This window comes from Homo sapiens, chromosome 3, assembly GCF_000001405.40.
Source record: "Homo sapiens chromosome 3, GRCh38.p14 Primary Assembly".
NCBI classification, from domain to species: Eukaryota; Metazoa; Chordata; class Mammalia; order Primates; family Hominidae; genus Homo; species Homo sapiens.
In genome coordinates this window covers 68,405,010-68,422,660 of record NC_000003.12, presented here as the reverse complement: position 1 = coordinate 68,422,660, position 17,651 = coordinate 68,405,010, and the positions used below count along the sequence as shown (strand labels likewise).

General features: G+C 39.1%; 1 protein-coding gene across 7 annotated transcripts in view, besides 1 other annotated feature; it reads right to left on the bottom strand.

Moving 5' to 3' along the window:
- Positions 1-17,651, bottom strand: part of TAFA1 (TAFA chemokine like family member 1) — a 554,078-nt gene that overhangs the window by 122,961 nt on the left and 413,466 nt on the right. For 4 of the 7 annotated variants that reach the window (NM_001252216.2, NM_001438647.1, NM_213609.4 and 1 more), the window contains one exon: positions 5,241-5,381. In NM_001252216.2, the coding sequence (NP_001239145.1) occupies positions 5,241-5,381 (141 nt within the window). The remainder of the gene's footprint in view (positions 1-5,240; positions 5,382-17,651) is intronic. The other 3 variants (NM_001438650.1, NM_001438648.1, NM_001438649.1) reach the window with 1 other exon arrangement.
- Positions 3,867-4,671: an enhancer, noted in NCBI's record as "OCT4-NANOG hESC enhancer chr3:68467140-68467944 (GRCh37/hg19 assembly coordinates)". NCBI's record gives its function as "activates a minimal SCP1, AML or CMV promoter by ChIP-STARR-seq in naive H9 embryonic stem cells {active_cell/tissue: H9 hESC(naive)}" and the evidence as "EXISTENCE:reporter gene assay evidence [ECO:0000049][PMID:30033119]".

Genomic DNA, 17,651 nt, shown 5'->3' with positions numbered 1-17,651 from the left:
AAAATTTTCTCCAAATATATATTATACTCTTGAATAAGCTGCTAAGGTTTTACCCCACATTTTCTGTTCCATTTTAAATAATCTGCTCTCAGATTCTCAACCTTAAAGCAATCCAATATATGCTTCTTTTAAAATGATAGCTATTCTCTTGTTTTTGAAAACACTGTAAAAGGCAACTGACCTGAAATTTCAGAGGAAGGCAAATAAGAGCAATTGGAACACTTACCATGGGAAATTCACTGCATAAGACAGAATATGTTTAGGACAAACGTGGTGTATAAACTATCAACTGCTGTCACGCAGAGAAGTTGATGCCTGTCTATTCCTAGGGAACTGAGATTGGGAATGCAAGAAACTCTGTAAATGCCATAAAGTGGAGAGGATAGTTAAATAAATGGTGGTGTATCCACCTCTGAAAAACCCATATAGCTATTAACAATAAGTTTTTGAAGAATATGTATTCACTTGGGAAATGGTCATCATATATTAAGTGAAACAAGCCATCCATAAAACTTTGCTACAGCATTTTAGTTCAATAAAATACCTACAATGTGAGTTTGCTTTTTAGTAGTGGGGTAAGACTGGAAGGACATATATTAATATGTTATCTTACAATGTAGTAATAGTCCCTGGGCAATGATATCATGGGTGATTTTAGTGCATGGATGTATCTCTGAAATTTTCAAAATTCCTATTATAAACATGCATTCCTGAAGATGACTTACCAGTATTAGTAATATCCAGGATAATTAGTTGGAAGCATTTCTAAGAAAAGATGATGGCTAAAATTCCACCGTGTTCAATTAATATGAAACAAAACTCATAAAAAAAGTTTCTCTCTAAGCATTATCCACATTTACTAGTGAGATAGAAAACAGATATTATCATTTAGTGAGCCTCTGAAGGGAGTCAGACATTGTGCAAAAAACATTATATAGAAGATTTTCTTAAATCTTAAAAAAATCAGCACAATCTTAAAAAGTAGAAATGTCTATAATCCCTATTTTACAGATGAGCAAACTGAGCTTAGGAAGCAAATGTCATTCTATCAAAAATAAAGACGAGGAAGCTGAGGTTAGAAAGCAAATGTCATTCTATCAAAAATGTCATTCTATCAGTAATAGGTACAGCTGCGATTCCATCCAGGTATATGAAATTTCTCACTCCATGATGTGAATAACTATACTGAAATTTTAATTTATAGTCACACTTTATATTTAATTTTCATTTAGAGATCTAGGCCACCAAAACAATTTTGATCATAGCAACACAATAGACTTGCCCATACATGCCAATGGATTGAAGGATTTTGGAGTAGAATGTTACCAAAAATATAAATAATCAACATGAGAATAAAGAACACTCAATACTTTATTGACTTTTGCCTGGAATGCAGAAAGGATAGCCCTTTTGTTTGAACCAACCACACCAAAGGGTTCAGAGTTCCCAAAGTCGAACAAAGTTTTCCTGAGATAAAAATATTACTGTTATGTGGCTTAACTTCTTACAAATCTTAGGGCTAGATACCATTTCCCCCTCTGTCAGCATAAGCAATGCATTGCACTTTGTGTTTTGTATCCAAATCCTAAAGGCAATTCTATTTCTAGATCATTAGAGATAAAAATGAACTGGAAACAAAATGAAGATTTATAGTTAACGGCTTCAAGGCTTTCTTTGGCAAAGAACATGAGAAACCATCATGGTTTTGTTTTATAATGCTTATTGGCTTCTAGGGCCAAGAGTTTCTTCTTTAAGAGAGAGGGAAATAGCTTTACTCATCTAACTGCCTGCCTTCCCTGCATTAGAGGTGCTCACTGTGTTGACTGTAGTGTAGAGTAAGTAAATAATCATAGTGCTAGTTTTTCAACCTCAGCACCATTGACATTTTGAGCTCGAGAATTCTTCGTTGTGGGGATTCGGGGGCGCAGGGGTTGTCCTGGGCATTGCAGGATGTTCAATAGGATTCATGGCCTCTACCCACTAGGTATCAGTAGCAGCTCCCTTGTTGTGACAAATGGGTAGACCCAAATATCTCCAGACATTACCAAATGATCCCTGGGAGAAATTGCCCCAGTTGAGAACTAGTCCCAGTATATCCCCAAACTTGACTTTTTAACATCCTTTAAAAAACAGTTTGACCTGGCCAGGTGTGGTGGCTCATGCCTGTAATCCTAGCACCTTGGTAGGCCTGGGCAGGAGGGTTGCTTGAGCCCAGGAGTTTGAGACAAGCCTAGGCTATGTAGCACGACCTCATCTTTACGGAAAATAAAAGAAAAATTAGGTTGAGGGAGAATGGTTGCTTGAACCTGGCAGTTTGAGGCTGCAGTAAGCTATGATGGTGCCATGGCACACCACCTGGGTGACAGAGCAAGATCCTGTCTCTAAAAAATAAAAATAAAATAGCTTGACCTTCCCATGGCATATAATTGACAGCTGTATATGCCACATAAGCTTGCTCCTCTGGCTGTGACTAGCTGGGCAAAGGTTGACACACTGGCCTAAGCTGGGCCAATCACATCTTTTCTTCTCAGATAATGTATTAAGACACAGAAACTGAGTCAAATATATTCATGCCCTGAAGCAATACAATCATGCTGAGAGAGATTAGAATCAGTACCATGAAAGTAAAAGCCTTATATCATTCTCTAATTTATGAGAAGGTAAAAATAAAAATCTTGAAGAGAGACAGTCTACATAGGAGAGAACTAGGTAAACGAGATCAGAGATAGTATGTTCCGTGAACAAAGAAAATGAGATGACAGCTGCCTGAAGAATTTACGAATTCCACGAGGTTTGGCTGAATTTCCTTTAATTGGTTCACCGCGATTCCTTTATTTTCTTAAAATACTTCCTCTTTACTTAGCCTAGCTTGAGTGTGTTTCTCTTTCTAACCACCTACTGACCCACAATGAAAATACATAACATGAATCGATCTAGAGGTTGTCCTTCCTTATCTATATCTAGAGGAAGAACAATGAACACCAAGCCAAGGGATTCAGGTTCAGTGTCCTGTTATGTGAACCAAGCAAGTGACTCATTTCTTTGAGTCCTCCTCCTGATTTCTTAAATAAAGGATTTGAAAATCAACTTACACCCAGCTCTAAATTATGAAACATAAAGATGGGAGGAGAGATTTATAGTCCCTTTGCGCCTTGGACTCATTGTTTGACAGTAACATATAAAATTGTCTTAAAGGTGGTGGTCTAAATTTGGTATTAGAGTCCATTATGCTGGGCTGAAGAGTCATTCAAGCCAGGGCTTATCAACCATAGGATGAATGGAACACTATTCAACCCTTCCAAGCCTCGGTTTCTACATGTTGAAAATGGTAGATAAAAATGTATCTCCTTATGGTAACCAGCTTCCATGGTGCCCCACAATGATCCCTGACTGCTGGTCTTCCAGCCCTTGCGGTCTACCACCACAATGAATAGGGGCTAGTGGGTATAACCTGTAGGATATTGTGGAAATAAAAAAGAGTAACTTTCTGAGGTGACATATAAAGGCTTCTGTATTGTTTTATTGGATTACTCACTTTGAGGGAAGCCAGCTACCACGTTGTGAGGACATCAAGTTTTTTTTGAGAGGTTCACGAGGCGAGGAAACAAGACCACCTCCCAACAGCCATGTGAACAAGCCATCTTAAAACCATTCTGCCATATCAGTCAAACCTTCAGATCTTGACTGCAACCACATGAGATACTCTAAGCCAGAACCTCGTAAGTTTAATTCGTGACACACAGAAACTGTGACATAATGTTTTCTGTTTTAAGCTGCTAAGTTTTGGGATTTGTTATATCACAATAGAGAAAAAATATACTGCTTTGTAGAATTGTTGGGAGGATTAAATAAAATAATGCATGAGAAGTGTTTAGCACAGGGTTTGATCCATACTGAGGACTCAGGACAATTCTGTTTGTTCATCAGTTTTTCTGGAGCACCCAGAGTGGTATCTGGAATACAGTAAGTGCTCATTAAATATGTGTTGAATGAATGTTAGGTATTGTTATATTTGTCAGGCCTCTGAGCCCGAGCCCAAGCCAAGCCATCACATCCCCTGTGACTTGCACGTACACACCCAGATGGCCTGAAGTAACTGAAGAATCACAAAAGAAGTGAATATGCCCTGCTCCGCCTTAACTGATGACATTCCACCACAAAAGAAGTGTAAATGGCCGGTCCTTGCCTTAACTGATGATATTCCACCACAAAAGAAGTGAAAATGGCCGGTCCTTCCCTTAAGTGACGACATTACCTTGTGAAAGTCCTTTTCCTGGCTCATCCTGGCTCAAAAAGCTCCCCCACTGAGCACCTTGCGACCCCCACTCTGCCCACCAGAGAACAACTCCCCTTTGACTGTAATTTTCCTTTTTCTACCCAAATCCTATAAAACGGCCCCACCCTTATCTCCCTTTGCTGACTATCTTTTGGGACTCGGCCCACCTGCACCCAGGTGATTAAAAGCTTTATTGCTCACACAAAGCCTGTTTGGTGGTATCTTCACACGGATGCGCATGAAAATATTTATTATCATTATCACCATCATCATTCTCTAGAGCCTCAGTCCAAAATCATTTCCCAAATGAGCTGGACCTTCATGTTTCTTGACCTGAAAAAAATGTCAAATTGTAACCCCCAGTGTTGGAACAGGGGCCTGGTGAGAGGTGACTGGCTCATGGAGGCAGACTTCCCCCTTGCTGTTCTTATGATAGTGAGAGAGTTCTCACAAGATCTGGTTGTTTAAAATTGTGTAGTACCTCCCCCTTGGCTCTCTTCCTCCTTTCCTGGCCATGTAAGACTTGCTTGCTTCTCCTTCACTTTCTCCTGTGATTGAAAGTTTCCTGGGGCCTCCGTAGCCATGCTTCCTGTACAGCCTGTGCATCCAGGAGCCAATTAAGCCTCTTTTCTTTATAAATTACCCAGTCTCAGGTTTTTCCTTATAGCAGTGTGAGAATGGACTAATACAGTTGCTCACAGCCCAGTCACCTCTCAAAGGTCCCACCTCTCAATGCTGCAATGGCAAGCAAATTTCAACATCTATTTTTTGGGGAAAAAACATTCAAATAATAGCACCAGAGAAAAAAGAATTCAAACTCTGCTGAGGCTGGCAATTGTATAACTTTCTAACACTTCGGATGCACCTTGTTCATTATCTGGAACCATATTAGATAAAACAAGAAATTATATTATGTATAGTGAATGCCATGTGAGCTTTTCAAGAGGTAAAACCAGGTACCTACCATCGACGCAAGAAGGCCGGTTTCTTGTTGTTCCAGCCACTTTTCCAGGTAGACAGGAACACTTTACTGTTTGTGACCGCTCCTCAATGCGATTCTTGTTACAACATCGGTGTGCTGCTATCACTTCACACGTCCCTCCTTCTGGCAAGAGAGAAAGAACAGGGACACTGATTAGAAATAACTCAGTGACTATTCGAGCCCCTGGGAGTGCATGTAGCGGGGTTGAGGAAAGTAATTGAAATTATAGAAACAGTTTCCATGAAATACAATTACAACAGGACTCTCTTCTACTACGTGTAATCACAGAGAGGACAGTGCTGTACTTCCAAACCAGCAAAGAATACCAATGGATAGCCCTCAAGATGTGGCAATTCTGGCCTGTAGGTATTGACAGGCAATAAAGCAATGAATGCCTGCAACTAACACACCCAATAAAGATGCTGCCTGATTTAAATGCATATTTTGGGAGCCATCTTCTGTGTTATCATCACATTTAAGATTCTCTGAGTTCTATTGACAAGTGACACTCCAGTGATACAGAAGCTACAGTGCCAGAAAAACTGCCCAGAAATCAGCTCTTCCTTCCATTGCCTGCCTACTCTCAAGGGGGGCTAAATAGAAAATCTATTCGGGACATATTTCCCAAATCTAGACTTCATCCGCAAATGAAAGAAAGAATTGCTGGAGAAAATGGGTAGGTGCTTTAAACAATGTCTCAAATTGCAGTCCTGGTCATATAGCTTGACTTAATTGTAACAGCTCATCCATGCATTCATCAGAATTTATTGGCAAACTAATGTATGTCACTCTCCACTACGATCTTAGCAGGTGAACTGCCGGCTCTGCATAAAGGCTGATAAGCATCCAAGTGGGTCTTTCCCCAGAAATCAGCTAAATCAGCTAAGTCAGATCTCTAGAGACACGCAAAAGATACATCAAGTGACCAGAAACCAGGAATCAACTTTCTCAACATCAAATTTGGAGTTCAGAATAGACCCAGACCATTTAGGATTCTTGGCATTTAGGATGCAGTTGGCAAAAATTCACCAAGCATTTGTTAAGCAACCTCTATATTCAAATTACTGTGTGATAAACTATATGGATGAGAATACATCTCCTGTACATAGAGGATACATATGGACACTTAGAAAACATTGTGAAAAAGAAAAGGAGGGAGAAAGGAAGGAGAGAAGACTTAAGACACAGCTTCATCCTTTCATCCTGTCCTCTGAGAACTGTGTAATGCAGAGATCCTCAGTGCAGTGGTGGTGGGGTGTGATGTTGCTCCCTCCCCCATAATAATAGCTGGCCAGTTTGGAGATATTTCTGATTGTCATCACTGGTTGGAGCACACAGCTACTTGCATCTTTCAGGTAGGAAGCAGGGCTATGTTAAACATCCCACAATGCCCAGGATGGCCTCCCATAGAAAGAATGATCTGGCTCAAAAGATCGATATTGTGAAGGTGTTGAGAAACCCTGGCCTAACATGAAAGAAACGCAAGAGTCTCTGATTTTGAGTAGACTAATTATGTTTCTCTCCATAGGAGGGAAGAGTTCAGGCTTTCATATCAGCCTCTTTTAGTTTGAATCTCGGCTCTGTCATTTACTGAATGCCTTAGTTTCCTCATCTGTAAAATGGGAATAATAATAACACCTGTATCACAGGGTTGTGTGAGTATAAACAGAGAGAACACATGTAAAGGGGTTAGTGCCGAGCCTGACATATGGTAGAGTCTGTATATACTTCCTATAATAAGAATACCAGAGTGACTAGATATTATTTATATCTTTGTAGGTGCCAACAAAGGTATAAATTTATATCTTTGGTGCCAACAAAGATATAAATAACATATTTTCTGTCTTAGAGGGATTGAAAATATGGTTTCTTCTGGAATACTCACTCCTACCTCCCATCCCTCCAACCTCCTCACTCCAACACAAATGATTTTGCCAGTTAACTCTCCTTAGAGCTCAACTCAAAGGTCAGTTCCTTAGAGAATGCTCCTCACGTCCACCTTTGTTCATTCTATTAGCACCCTACACATTTCCTGTGTTTAGTTGTTCATGTCTGTGCCCCAGCCAAACTGTAAGCTTGACTGGGGTCAAGGTTGTCACTTGTTTCCTCACAGCAATGAATGGGAATTTTTGGAACAAAGGACTGGTGTGGTACAGGTATTTCTCTAGGGCAACCACCTTGGTAAGCTATATGCAGGAGGAGTTGGAGAAGTACAAGGTAGCGAAGGAGAAGAAATAAATGGCTCGTGCAAAACAATGACTAGAAGAAAGAAGGCTGCAACTTGTTCATGGAAGAGTGCCTTACTATCTCCCCATGCACGACACTGGGATTCAAGTTAATGGAATAGGGCTAATCATATATTACACTCTTTAACTCAGACACCTGCAATCATGTCACTTTAGCTTATAATTGTCAGCTACAAATACCCTCCGTCAAGTCAGTAACAGCTAGTTCGACACTTCACAAAAATGCCACTAATTTTAAAGTCACCTCTTGGCTCTAATACAAGAGTGGAGCAATATTTATGATTGAAAATGGCACAAGGCACATGAAAGCTCTCAGGATGTATTTTGAATCTCATTTGATTTACAGTCAAGTCAACGGACACAATGACAGACAAGCCAGATCGCCTGAGTTACTGCACTGAGTTAAATAATACTGACAACAAGGTGGGCACTGAAGGTCCAAAGCCTGTCCCTCATGGCACTGTTGTCAAAGAGCCAAAGGAATGGTTCTCTGCTACTCTTGGAGCTCAATGCCATTTCTGGAGCTCTGATTTGGGTGCTGGATGCTGTATTAATTATACACATTCCAGCAACTTTACAAGGTATTGTCCCCACTTTACACATGAGAAGCTGAGGCTCAGAGGGGTTAAATAACTTGCCCAGAATCACATAAGTGTGACCCCAGTCACTAGATCCCAAAACTCAGGCTTTTTGCATCTTTTCACAAGTGGTTGTGCCTTATGGTTGAAAAACTTCCAAGAAAATGTTTGACACTTGGCTTAGAAAGGTTACCAAGGTTAAATATCCGAGCCGCCCCTCCTCCCCTAGTTGTGACTCTGACCTTATTTGTTTTGTTTGTTTGTTTGTTTTGATATGGCGTTTCGCTCCTGTTGCCTAGGCTGGAGTGCAATGGCGCGATCTCAGTTCACTGCAACCTCTGCTTCCCAGGTTCAAGTGATTCTCTTGCCTCAGCCTCCCAAGTAGCTGGGATTACAGGCATGCACCACCATGCCCAGCTAATTTTTTTGTATTGTTAGTAGAGACAGGGTTTCTCCATGTTGGTCAGGATGGTCTCGAACTCCCGACCTCAGGTGATCCACCCGTCTCGGCCTCCCAGAGTGCTGGGATTACTGGTGTGAGCCACCGTGCCCAGCCGATTTGTTATGACTCTCTCTCTCCTTGACTTTCCTCCATGGACACTGGTCACTTTGACGGTTACTGCATGAGCACCCCAGGCATGTACCCCATGAGGGTCACTGTATCACCTGAGACATGCTCCCAACAGATCTCTGGCTCACCCACTCCTCACTCCATCATTGCTCAAATGTCACTTAATCAGAGGCACACTTGACCTGTCTACTTAAAATAAATCATACTCCCCTTAGCAAGCACTCATGAGCTCCCTTGCTTTATGTCCCCTCACCCCCCTGCCCCCAACACCTGTAACTTTCAAACACAGTATATAATTTTCTGATGACATTATTGTCTGTGTGTCCCATTGGAAATCAAACTCTTCCAGAACATGGATTCTTATTGTTTTATGTATTCAACAATGTCTCACATATTATTATCAAGGTTTAAAATGTGCTTTTAACACATATTTCATTTAATTTTCAAAGTAGTTGAAAGATGGAGATAGAACTATTGTTATTTCCATTTTCTAGAGATGATACAGACTTACAGCAAGCAATATAGCCATGCAACCAATGGTAATAGTAATAATATTAAAGAAAGTAATCATTTATTGAGTTTTTCCTATGTGCCCAATACCATAATAAACACATCACAAATCTTTATTTTACAGGAGAAGCAAATGAGACCAAGAGTGACTTAGAAACTTGCCCATGTTTCAACCTACAGAATGGGAGAAAAATTTTACAATCTACCTATCTGACAAAGCTAATATCCAGAATCTACAATGAACTCAAACAAATTTACAAGAAAAAAATCAAACAACCCCATCAAAAAGTGGGCAAAGGATATGAACAGACACTTCTCAAAAGAAGACAATTATGTAGCCAACAGACACATGAAAAAATGCTCATCATCACTGGCCATCAGAGAAATGCAAATCAAAAACACAATGAGATACCATCTCACACCAGTTAGAATGGTGATCATTAAAAAGTCAGGAAACAACAGGTGCTGGAGAGGATGTGGAGAAATAGGAACACTTTTACACTGTTGGTGGGACTGTAAACTAGTTCAACCATTGTGGAAGTCAGTGTGGCAATTCCTCAGGGATCTAGAACTAGAAATACCATTTGACCCAGCCATCCCCTTACTGGGTATATACCCAAAGGACTATAAATCATGCTGCTATAAAGACACATGCACACGTATGTTTATTGCGGCACTATTCACAATAACAAAGACTTGGAACCAAGCCAAATGTCCACCAATGATAGACTGGATTAAGAAAATGTGGCACATATACACCATGGAATACTATGCAGCCATAAAAAAGGATGCATTCATGTCCTTTGTAGGGACATGGATGAAGCTGGAAACCATCATTCTGAGCAAACTATCACAAGGACATAAAACCAAACACAGCATGTTCTCACTCATAGGTGAGAATTGAACAATGAGAACACTTGGACACAGGGTGGGGAACATCACACACTGGGGCCTGTTGTGGAGTGGGGGTTGAGGGGAGGGATAGCCTTAGGAAATATACCTAATGTAAATGACGAGCTAACAGGTGCAGCACACCAACATGGCACATGTATACATATGTAACAAACCTGCACGTTGTGCACATATACCCTAGAACTTAAAGTATAATAATAATAATAAAAGAATATATATCCAAATTTAAAATGCAAAAGAAAAAAAAAAGAAACTTGCCCATGTTTTACCTAGCAAGGAGCCAACAGCATTGAGACCAGAACCCAGACCCTCACCCCATATACAGTGCTCTTTCCCCTGTCCCACCCTGACGTACATGCTGTCATTTCTTTGAAAAAGGAAGAGCATGGTAACTGAGAAATGACAAATGCTCCATTTTCATCAAAGACTTGTATATAAAGTCAATGACCCCAGGCCATATCTTCCTTAGGCTCACAGATGGTGGATTTACACACATGAGGCCAGGAAGGTGTTGCTCTAAATAACAGGCTCTTTGATTTTGACAAGTTGAACTATGGCCTCAATCACACATGCTGCTCAGGTACACTGGTGCAGAGCCCAGAAATAGGTCTTGGTGGACACAGTGGAACCCCACAGGACCCCAACAGTTGGAAGCTCTGATTGTCCCATCATACCCAAATCTCATTCCCAAAGTTTACATTGTAACAGACCTAGCAGACAGTCAAACGGAGCAATTTACTCTTTCAGTCTATCCTGCCCATGGAAGCCTGGGCTTGTATTAAAAAAGTAAAATTTTTAGATCTTTGGCAGGAAAAGTCACACTTACATAACTTTGCTCTAAAGACACATTTTGTGGGACTTTATGGATTATCCAAGGGGGCTCAGTTACCTCTACTCTAAGAAAGGAGATATTCTATTTTTAAAATTTGGTATAATGATCTATTCTTCACAGAGATTCTTCTGCTAAGGAAAAAGTGAAATCAATCATACTTAGGTGATTATCAGCTATCTAAAGGTAGTATTAAATGACAAATATTTGATTGACACATTATTAACTAAAGGCTAGGCTTTATTCAGATTCTTTTAGCTTTTACATAATATACTTTCCTGTTTCAGGGTCCCATCAAAGATATCACATTACATTTAGATGGGTAGATGATTGAACAAAGTGAAAAATGAATAACAAATCTGCCATGGATTTTTGCATGATCAAATAATATGGAACCTAACCAAGAAGGGTGTATGCCTTTGGTATAGCAGAGTATATATACAGAGTATAGTATGCTTGTAAAATACACACCGTCCCACATTCCTATGTGTTTTTTACTTTTTGGCTACATCAAGAGCCCACCTTTACTTGGGCCCACCCATGATACAGTGAGAAGGTGATCAAATTCTATAAGGACATAAAATGACATACAATTCCTATTATAACCCAGAGATAAAATTTTTCAAGACTCCCTCAGACAAAAAGGTTTTACTTATCTATTGTCCCCATCAGCTGGCTTCTTGGAAAAAGAGAAAGGAAACCAAAATGTTCCCCCAGAGTTTCTCCCAATGAAAGGGAAGAGTTAAGTTTGTCACAACCTTTCTGGAAATTAGGAAATGTGTATTTTAATCCAATGTATTTGTATTTTAAGGTTTACCTTGTGAACTATCCTTTCAAACTTAACTGCCAATGTTATTTCAGAATGATAATATTTGTCATGCAAATATCTTTCGGACTTTTCCTTGGTGTCAATGCCTATCCATTTCTAAATTTCATCTCAATCCAAGTCAAAATGATTTCAAGATGATCTATGGTTTCTCAAAGCTAAGTCATTTAGGTGCTTCCTTAGAAAATGCAGCTTCCTTTTTTTTTTTTTTTTTTTTTTTTTTTTGCTTATGGAAAATGGTCTCTTTTTTGGATTTCACCCAGGATCTGTAGATCTAAAAAACAAGACAGATGAAGTAACCTATTATCTAATGGCAGAGGATATAGAATAAAGAACAGGCTAGTATGGAGGTTGTTTGTACTACTCAGATTTTCCAGATTATTGTTTCTGTTATCAGTTAATCTGCAGAAAACATACATCTAAAATATCTATAAAATTAGCCCAAAACCCTAAATCTAGCATTATAAGGGATCCCATTGTTCTTTCCAACTAGGAAGTAAATGCCGTAATTATCTGGCTAATGCACACCGATCTGGAAAAGTTAGATGTGTTAAATGTACTCTGCTTCCCAGTTCTCTTTCTGCCACAAATCTTCAAAACAGTGGACTTTCTTCTCATTCCTTTTGCCCATGTTGACCCTGGTGTTAAGGGGAAGGGCCCCTGCAAAAAAAAACTCCATGGGGCATCTCTCTAGTTTCCCAACTGCTCTTTTCTCTTGGGTTTGTTAGAGCCCTGAATACATTATCAAACCTATTTTTAACAGGAAAAGAAAGTTTCTAATATCCAAAAAAGAGAAAAAGATAGCATTTCAAGATTATTTCCGGCAGCAGCAACTCTGAGCTGGAGAAGTTAAAAAAATGCCAAGTCCAATATGCTCCTAGCAATGGATGCCTCCTTCCCAGCTCAATGCATCACTGTCTTGAGCTGTACAAGTGAGGAAATAAGGAAGATAAATTGCGAAGGATAATGTTTCTTTTAAAAGGGTCCCCACTGGTGACAATTATGTGTCATGATGGAAAGGGAAGAAGAGGTTAGGAATGACTGGCAGGCAGATGACTAAAAGCTTGACAACTGGCATTGTAAGTCAGGGTTTGCCCCCAGATCTGATATTTAATAGAAATAGCTCATACCAACCAACTGGATCACTCTGGGCTACAAACTGGGTCAAATTTTTTGAATGGACACCTATGGGAACTTGCTAATGTCCGGTCCTTTTCATCTGCCAGGGAATTGGACATTCAGTAGTATCTTTTGCTGTTGGTGATTGTATTAGTCTGTTTTCACACTGCTATAAAGATACTACCAGAGACTGCGTAATTTATAAATAAAAGAGGTTTAACTGACTCACAGTTCTGCATGACTTGGGAGGCCTCAGGAAACTTACAATCATAGTAGAGTGTGAAGAGAAAGCAAGTACCTTCTTAAAAATGTGGCAGGAGAGAGAGTGCAGGGGAAATGACCACTTTTAAAATCATCAGATTTTATAAGAACTCCCCCACCATCATGAGAACAGCATGGGGGAAACCACCCTCATGATCCAATCACCTCCAACTAGGTCCCTCTCTTGACATGTGGGGATTACAATTCGAGATGTGATTTGGGTGGGGACATAGTGCCAAACCATATCTATCAGTGGTTTCGTGTCCAAGAACAAGCATAGCCAAACAACTTTAAATTATCACAACAGCAGACTTTCCGGGAAAGAAGAAAATATGCTAAGGGGGGAGTGTAAATTGGAATAGAGAGAATTGCTTCAAAAATAAAAAGACAGGGAATATAAGCCTAAGCCCTGTACATGTACATGTGTGTGGGTATTGCTGTGGTGGCCTTCCTGAACCATACTGTGAGTTATATTCTACTGTGTATGAGCCTACATCTCCTACATAATTCTTGTACAATAATATTTATAGTGTGCATGATTTTGATTTTTAAAAAATAATGTCTTGCTTTTCCTATAAGGAGGAAGGACAACAATTTTTTTCTGTTTTACCACTATTCCAGTACTAAGCTTGAAATCTGGCACTTGTTTGGTATGTAAATAGTTGTTGAATGAAACTTTTCCTCAAAGACTCACTTTTGACCCCCATTATATGTTCTCTTAGCAAGCTGAACTTTTCTTTTTCAGCCTGACTCCCAACTGGAATTATGGGCTTGTTGTCTAGCCTGTTTGGCTGGGCACTCCACGCTGGCAGGGGGACCACATCTTGTTTAATTCTTTATCTCTTGTGCCTGGAATAATAGTGGGCAGTCACACATTTACTAAATGATTAAATGACTGAATAATGAAAGGAAGGAAGGAAGGAAAGAAAGAGAGGGAGGGAAGAATATGTGGAATGTAAAGGGAAAGAAAAGGAAAATAGGAAGGAAACGGTAGAAGAAGAAAGACAGAATGTATAAATTAATCCTTTTTCGGGAACCTTTTCTGAATATCCATTATGTGGATATGTTCACAAAGATGAATTTGAATGATAAGTGTAGCTTTTGCAAAGATGAGAACTTCCAATATACCTTCTAGAGAAATCAACTTGGGATTTTGGTTGGGGATCGAGTCATAACTTACAAAGGTAAAGCTTTTTACTCTAAGTGAAATAGCTTTAAAATGAAATAGCAATTAAAAGTAACTATGAGTAAACCCCAGTTCTCATTAATAGGCCAGGATATATGCTTATAGCCAAAGACAACTTTTGGAGAAAATGAATAAACCATATTTAAAGAAAGTTAAGATGGACATGATTATTAGAATCCTTGCATTTCCACTTTATTACAAACGGTTCCTTTCTTTAAAAGCTGTAATATGTAAGAAAAATCGCAAATTTTTTTCAGAGTCACTTTTACAGGACTTTTTGATCAGGGTTGTATAAGTAGCTTTTTTGGAATTCATCATAGTGGATGTCAGAAATGCATATTTAATACTGTGTTAAAAATGCTTTATTGACCCAATGGACTGGAAAGAAGCTCTGAGTGTCTTTGTCTGTAAATCATTGACAAGAGAGACACTAATGGATCTTTAAGCATGTTTTGGTTGAGGAGGGCAAAATAGCTGCTTGATTTGTTTATGCTTGAGATTAAACAAATTCCCATCCTTTCTCTCCCAGCGTCCTCGGGTATGTAAAGGAAAAAAGTAGGAAAAAGGAAGAAATTCTGGGCAGGACAACCATGTTTGAGGCAGGGTAACATAATGGATAGGATCACAGATTCCAGAGCCAGGCTGCCAAGACTCAAGTCCTGGGTCTGCTGCTTCCTATTATTTTCCATTCTATATTTCAAGATTCTCATCTGTAGAATGTGGATGACAGCATCAACTTTACAGGGTTGTTTTAAGAACTACATTATTGCCTAGCTGGGTCAACGGTCTTGGTTTAAGAGTAAGGTTGAGGGATATCCAAAGGGGATTTAGGTCAAGAATATTGCATCCTATAGTGAACAGTAGACATATTATAGCTATTTTTCTAAGCCTTATTTCATTTCAATTCTTGTCCTAATCACAGTAGAATACAACGTATTTATTTTAGTTGTTAGCTCAGGGAAGCTGAAGGGCATTCATGCTGTGATTCAGTTTCCAGAGACTAACACTGACATCCAGGGTGAATGCCCTGGATTGCAATAATTCTTATACTTATCAGGTATAAGAATTAAATAAATACAGGCAAAGTGATTATAATAATACCTGGTTCAGAGTAGGCATGAAAATTTACTCTGATATTCCTAATACTATTGAAATTATCATCTTTGACCAGGTCAGAATTATTGGTGGGAAAAATATAACTCTTATTTTTTTCCCTTTTTTCACCAGTATGGACTACTCCTCACTCTTACCTTTCTACTCTCATTCCAGGCTAATCACGGAGAAACTGCATTTAGGCATCATTATCTCCCTGAAATAAAATTGCTAAAAGTAAGGTAATACCATAATCAACTCAACACCCACCCACTAGATTTCTTCAATTTTTAAAAGAAGAAAATGGCTTATACGTTGGATATGTTGAAACTCTACTGCAGAAATAACTTTTAGCAACTGGTCTACCCCCACGGAAATACATTTCACCCAAAGGTGCACCAATGAGGTTACAAGAACACACTTGATTCCTTACTGCTCTTTACATATTGTGGAACGTTTACTCTCTCCCAACAAGGATGCATCAGAGAGCATGAGGAAAGGGAACTCATGTAATGGATTGGACATCAGACTGCCTTTGGGCTACTCTTAGATCTGCCTTCAAATTTTTGTTAAAATAAGGCTGAGGATATATCTCCACTTTTCTATTCTCTGTCCTCAAATTTGCTTGCTTGATGTAGACTTTCCTTCAATACATTCCAAATTAATGCAATCTCAGAAATGAAACAACTGAAGGGGAAGTTTCTTCCTCAAAGTGGGGCATTCACCCTGGATGTCAATATTAGTCTCTGGAAACTGAATCACAGCTTCCCTGAGCCAACATCTAAAATGAATAAGTTGTATTCTACTGTGATTAGGACAAGAATTGAAATGAAATAAGGCTTAGAAAAATAGCTATGTTTACGTTCATTCTAGGGTGCAATATTCTTGACTTAAATCCCCTTTGGATCTCCCTTGACCCTATTCTTAAACCAAGACCATTGAACCAGCTAGGCAATAGTTGATTAGGCTTTCCTTCACCAGTGCTATCCTTTAGGGCTGAGAATGACATGGAAACAATTTCCAGAACAGACATAGGCCATGCTATTTTATATGAATAACTCCTCTGGCTATACTAATTTTTCTAAAATTATATAAAACACTGACATAAAAGATTGAATATACTAATATCTAATATAATTTTGAATAATTAACATCACTTTGGTTACTAGCTGGATGAATTTGGAGCAAGTTGTAACCTCTAAGCCCTCGTCCCTGTAAGCAAAATGCCTAAATTTAACGGATACTGTAAGCATTAGAGATTGTATATGAAAAGTAATTAATAAATCGAGCAGCACATAGTAGGTATACTATAAATAAGGGCTGCCATTCTCCTTGTTATTAATATAAAAATTGAAACCCAATTTCAAAGGCAACACTGGAGGAGGATGAAAGGGTAGAATTCTGAAATGCTGGAAAATGGAGTCATTTGCCTTTTAGGTTCCAGGTTGCAAAGACCCCAAATTTCTGAGCTCTTCCTGCAGTGGTGGGGGGCCTAACGTGTTCTTTCCATTGCATACTCACTTTGTCTAGTCTTTTTTTTTTTTTTTTTTTTTTTTTTTTTTTTTTTTTTTTTGAGATAGAGTCTCACTCCATTGCCTAGGTTGGAGTGCAGTAGCATGATCACAGCTCACTACAGCCTTGGCCTCCCAGGCTCAACTGATCCTCCCACCTCAGCCTCCCATGTAGCTGGAACTGCAAGAACATGCCACTATGCTTGGCTAATGTTTTGATTTGTATTTTTGTAGAGATGGGCGTCTCCCTTTGTACTCCCTATTTATTACTCCTAGGTTACAAACCACGCTGGTCTCGATCTCCTAGGTTCAAGCAATCCTCCCATTCTCATGTGATCCTCCCACCTCAGCCTCCCAAAGTGCTGGAATTACAGCTTTGAGCCACTGTGCCTGGCCTGACTTGTCTACTCCTACCTCTTTATTCATTTTTGTTCTATGTTTCTTTATAACATTTATTTAATGATATACAAGCAGGAATACATACTGAGAAAGAAGCCCAACAATAATCATTAACTTCTTTTTATTCTCTTAAAATGAGATTCTTCCATTATTGTTCACAGATAAGTGTAATGGATGTTAAAACGAACATGGGTGGTGATTACAAACAAACTCCTTTATGAAGATATAAAGGTACAGTCAACAACAAAAAAGCAGACACTGCAATATGATGACTCTGAATCCATCACTTCTAAACCATAACTATTTTATGATATTTCTTTTCTCCAGCTAAATGAAGAAAATGCCATTGGAAT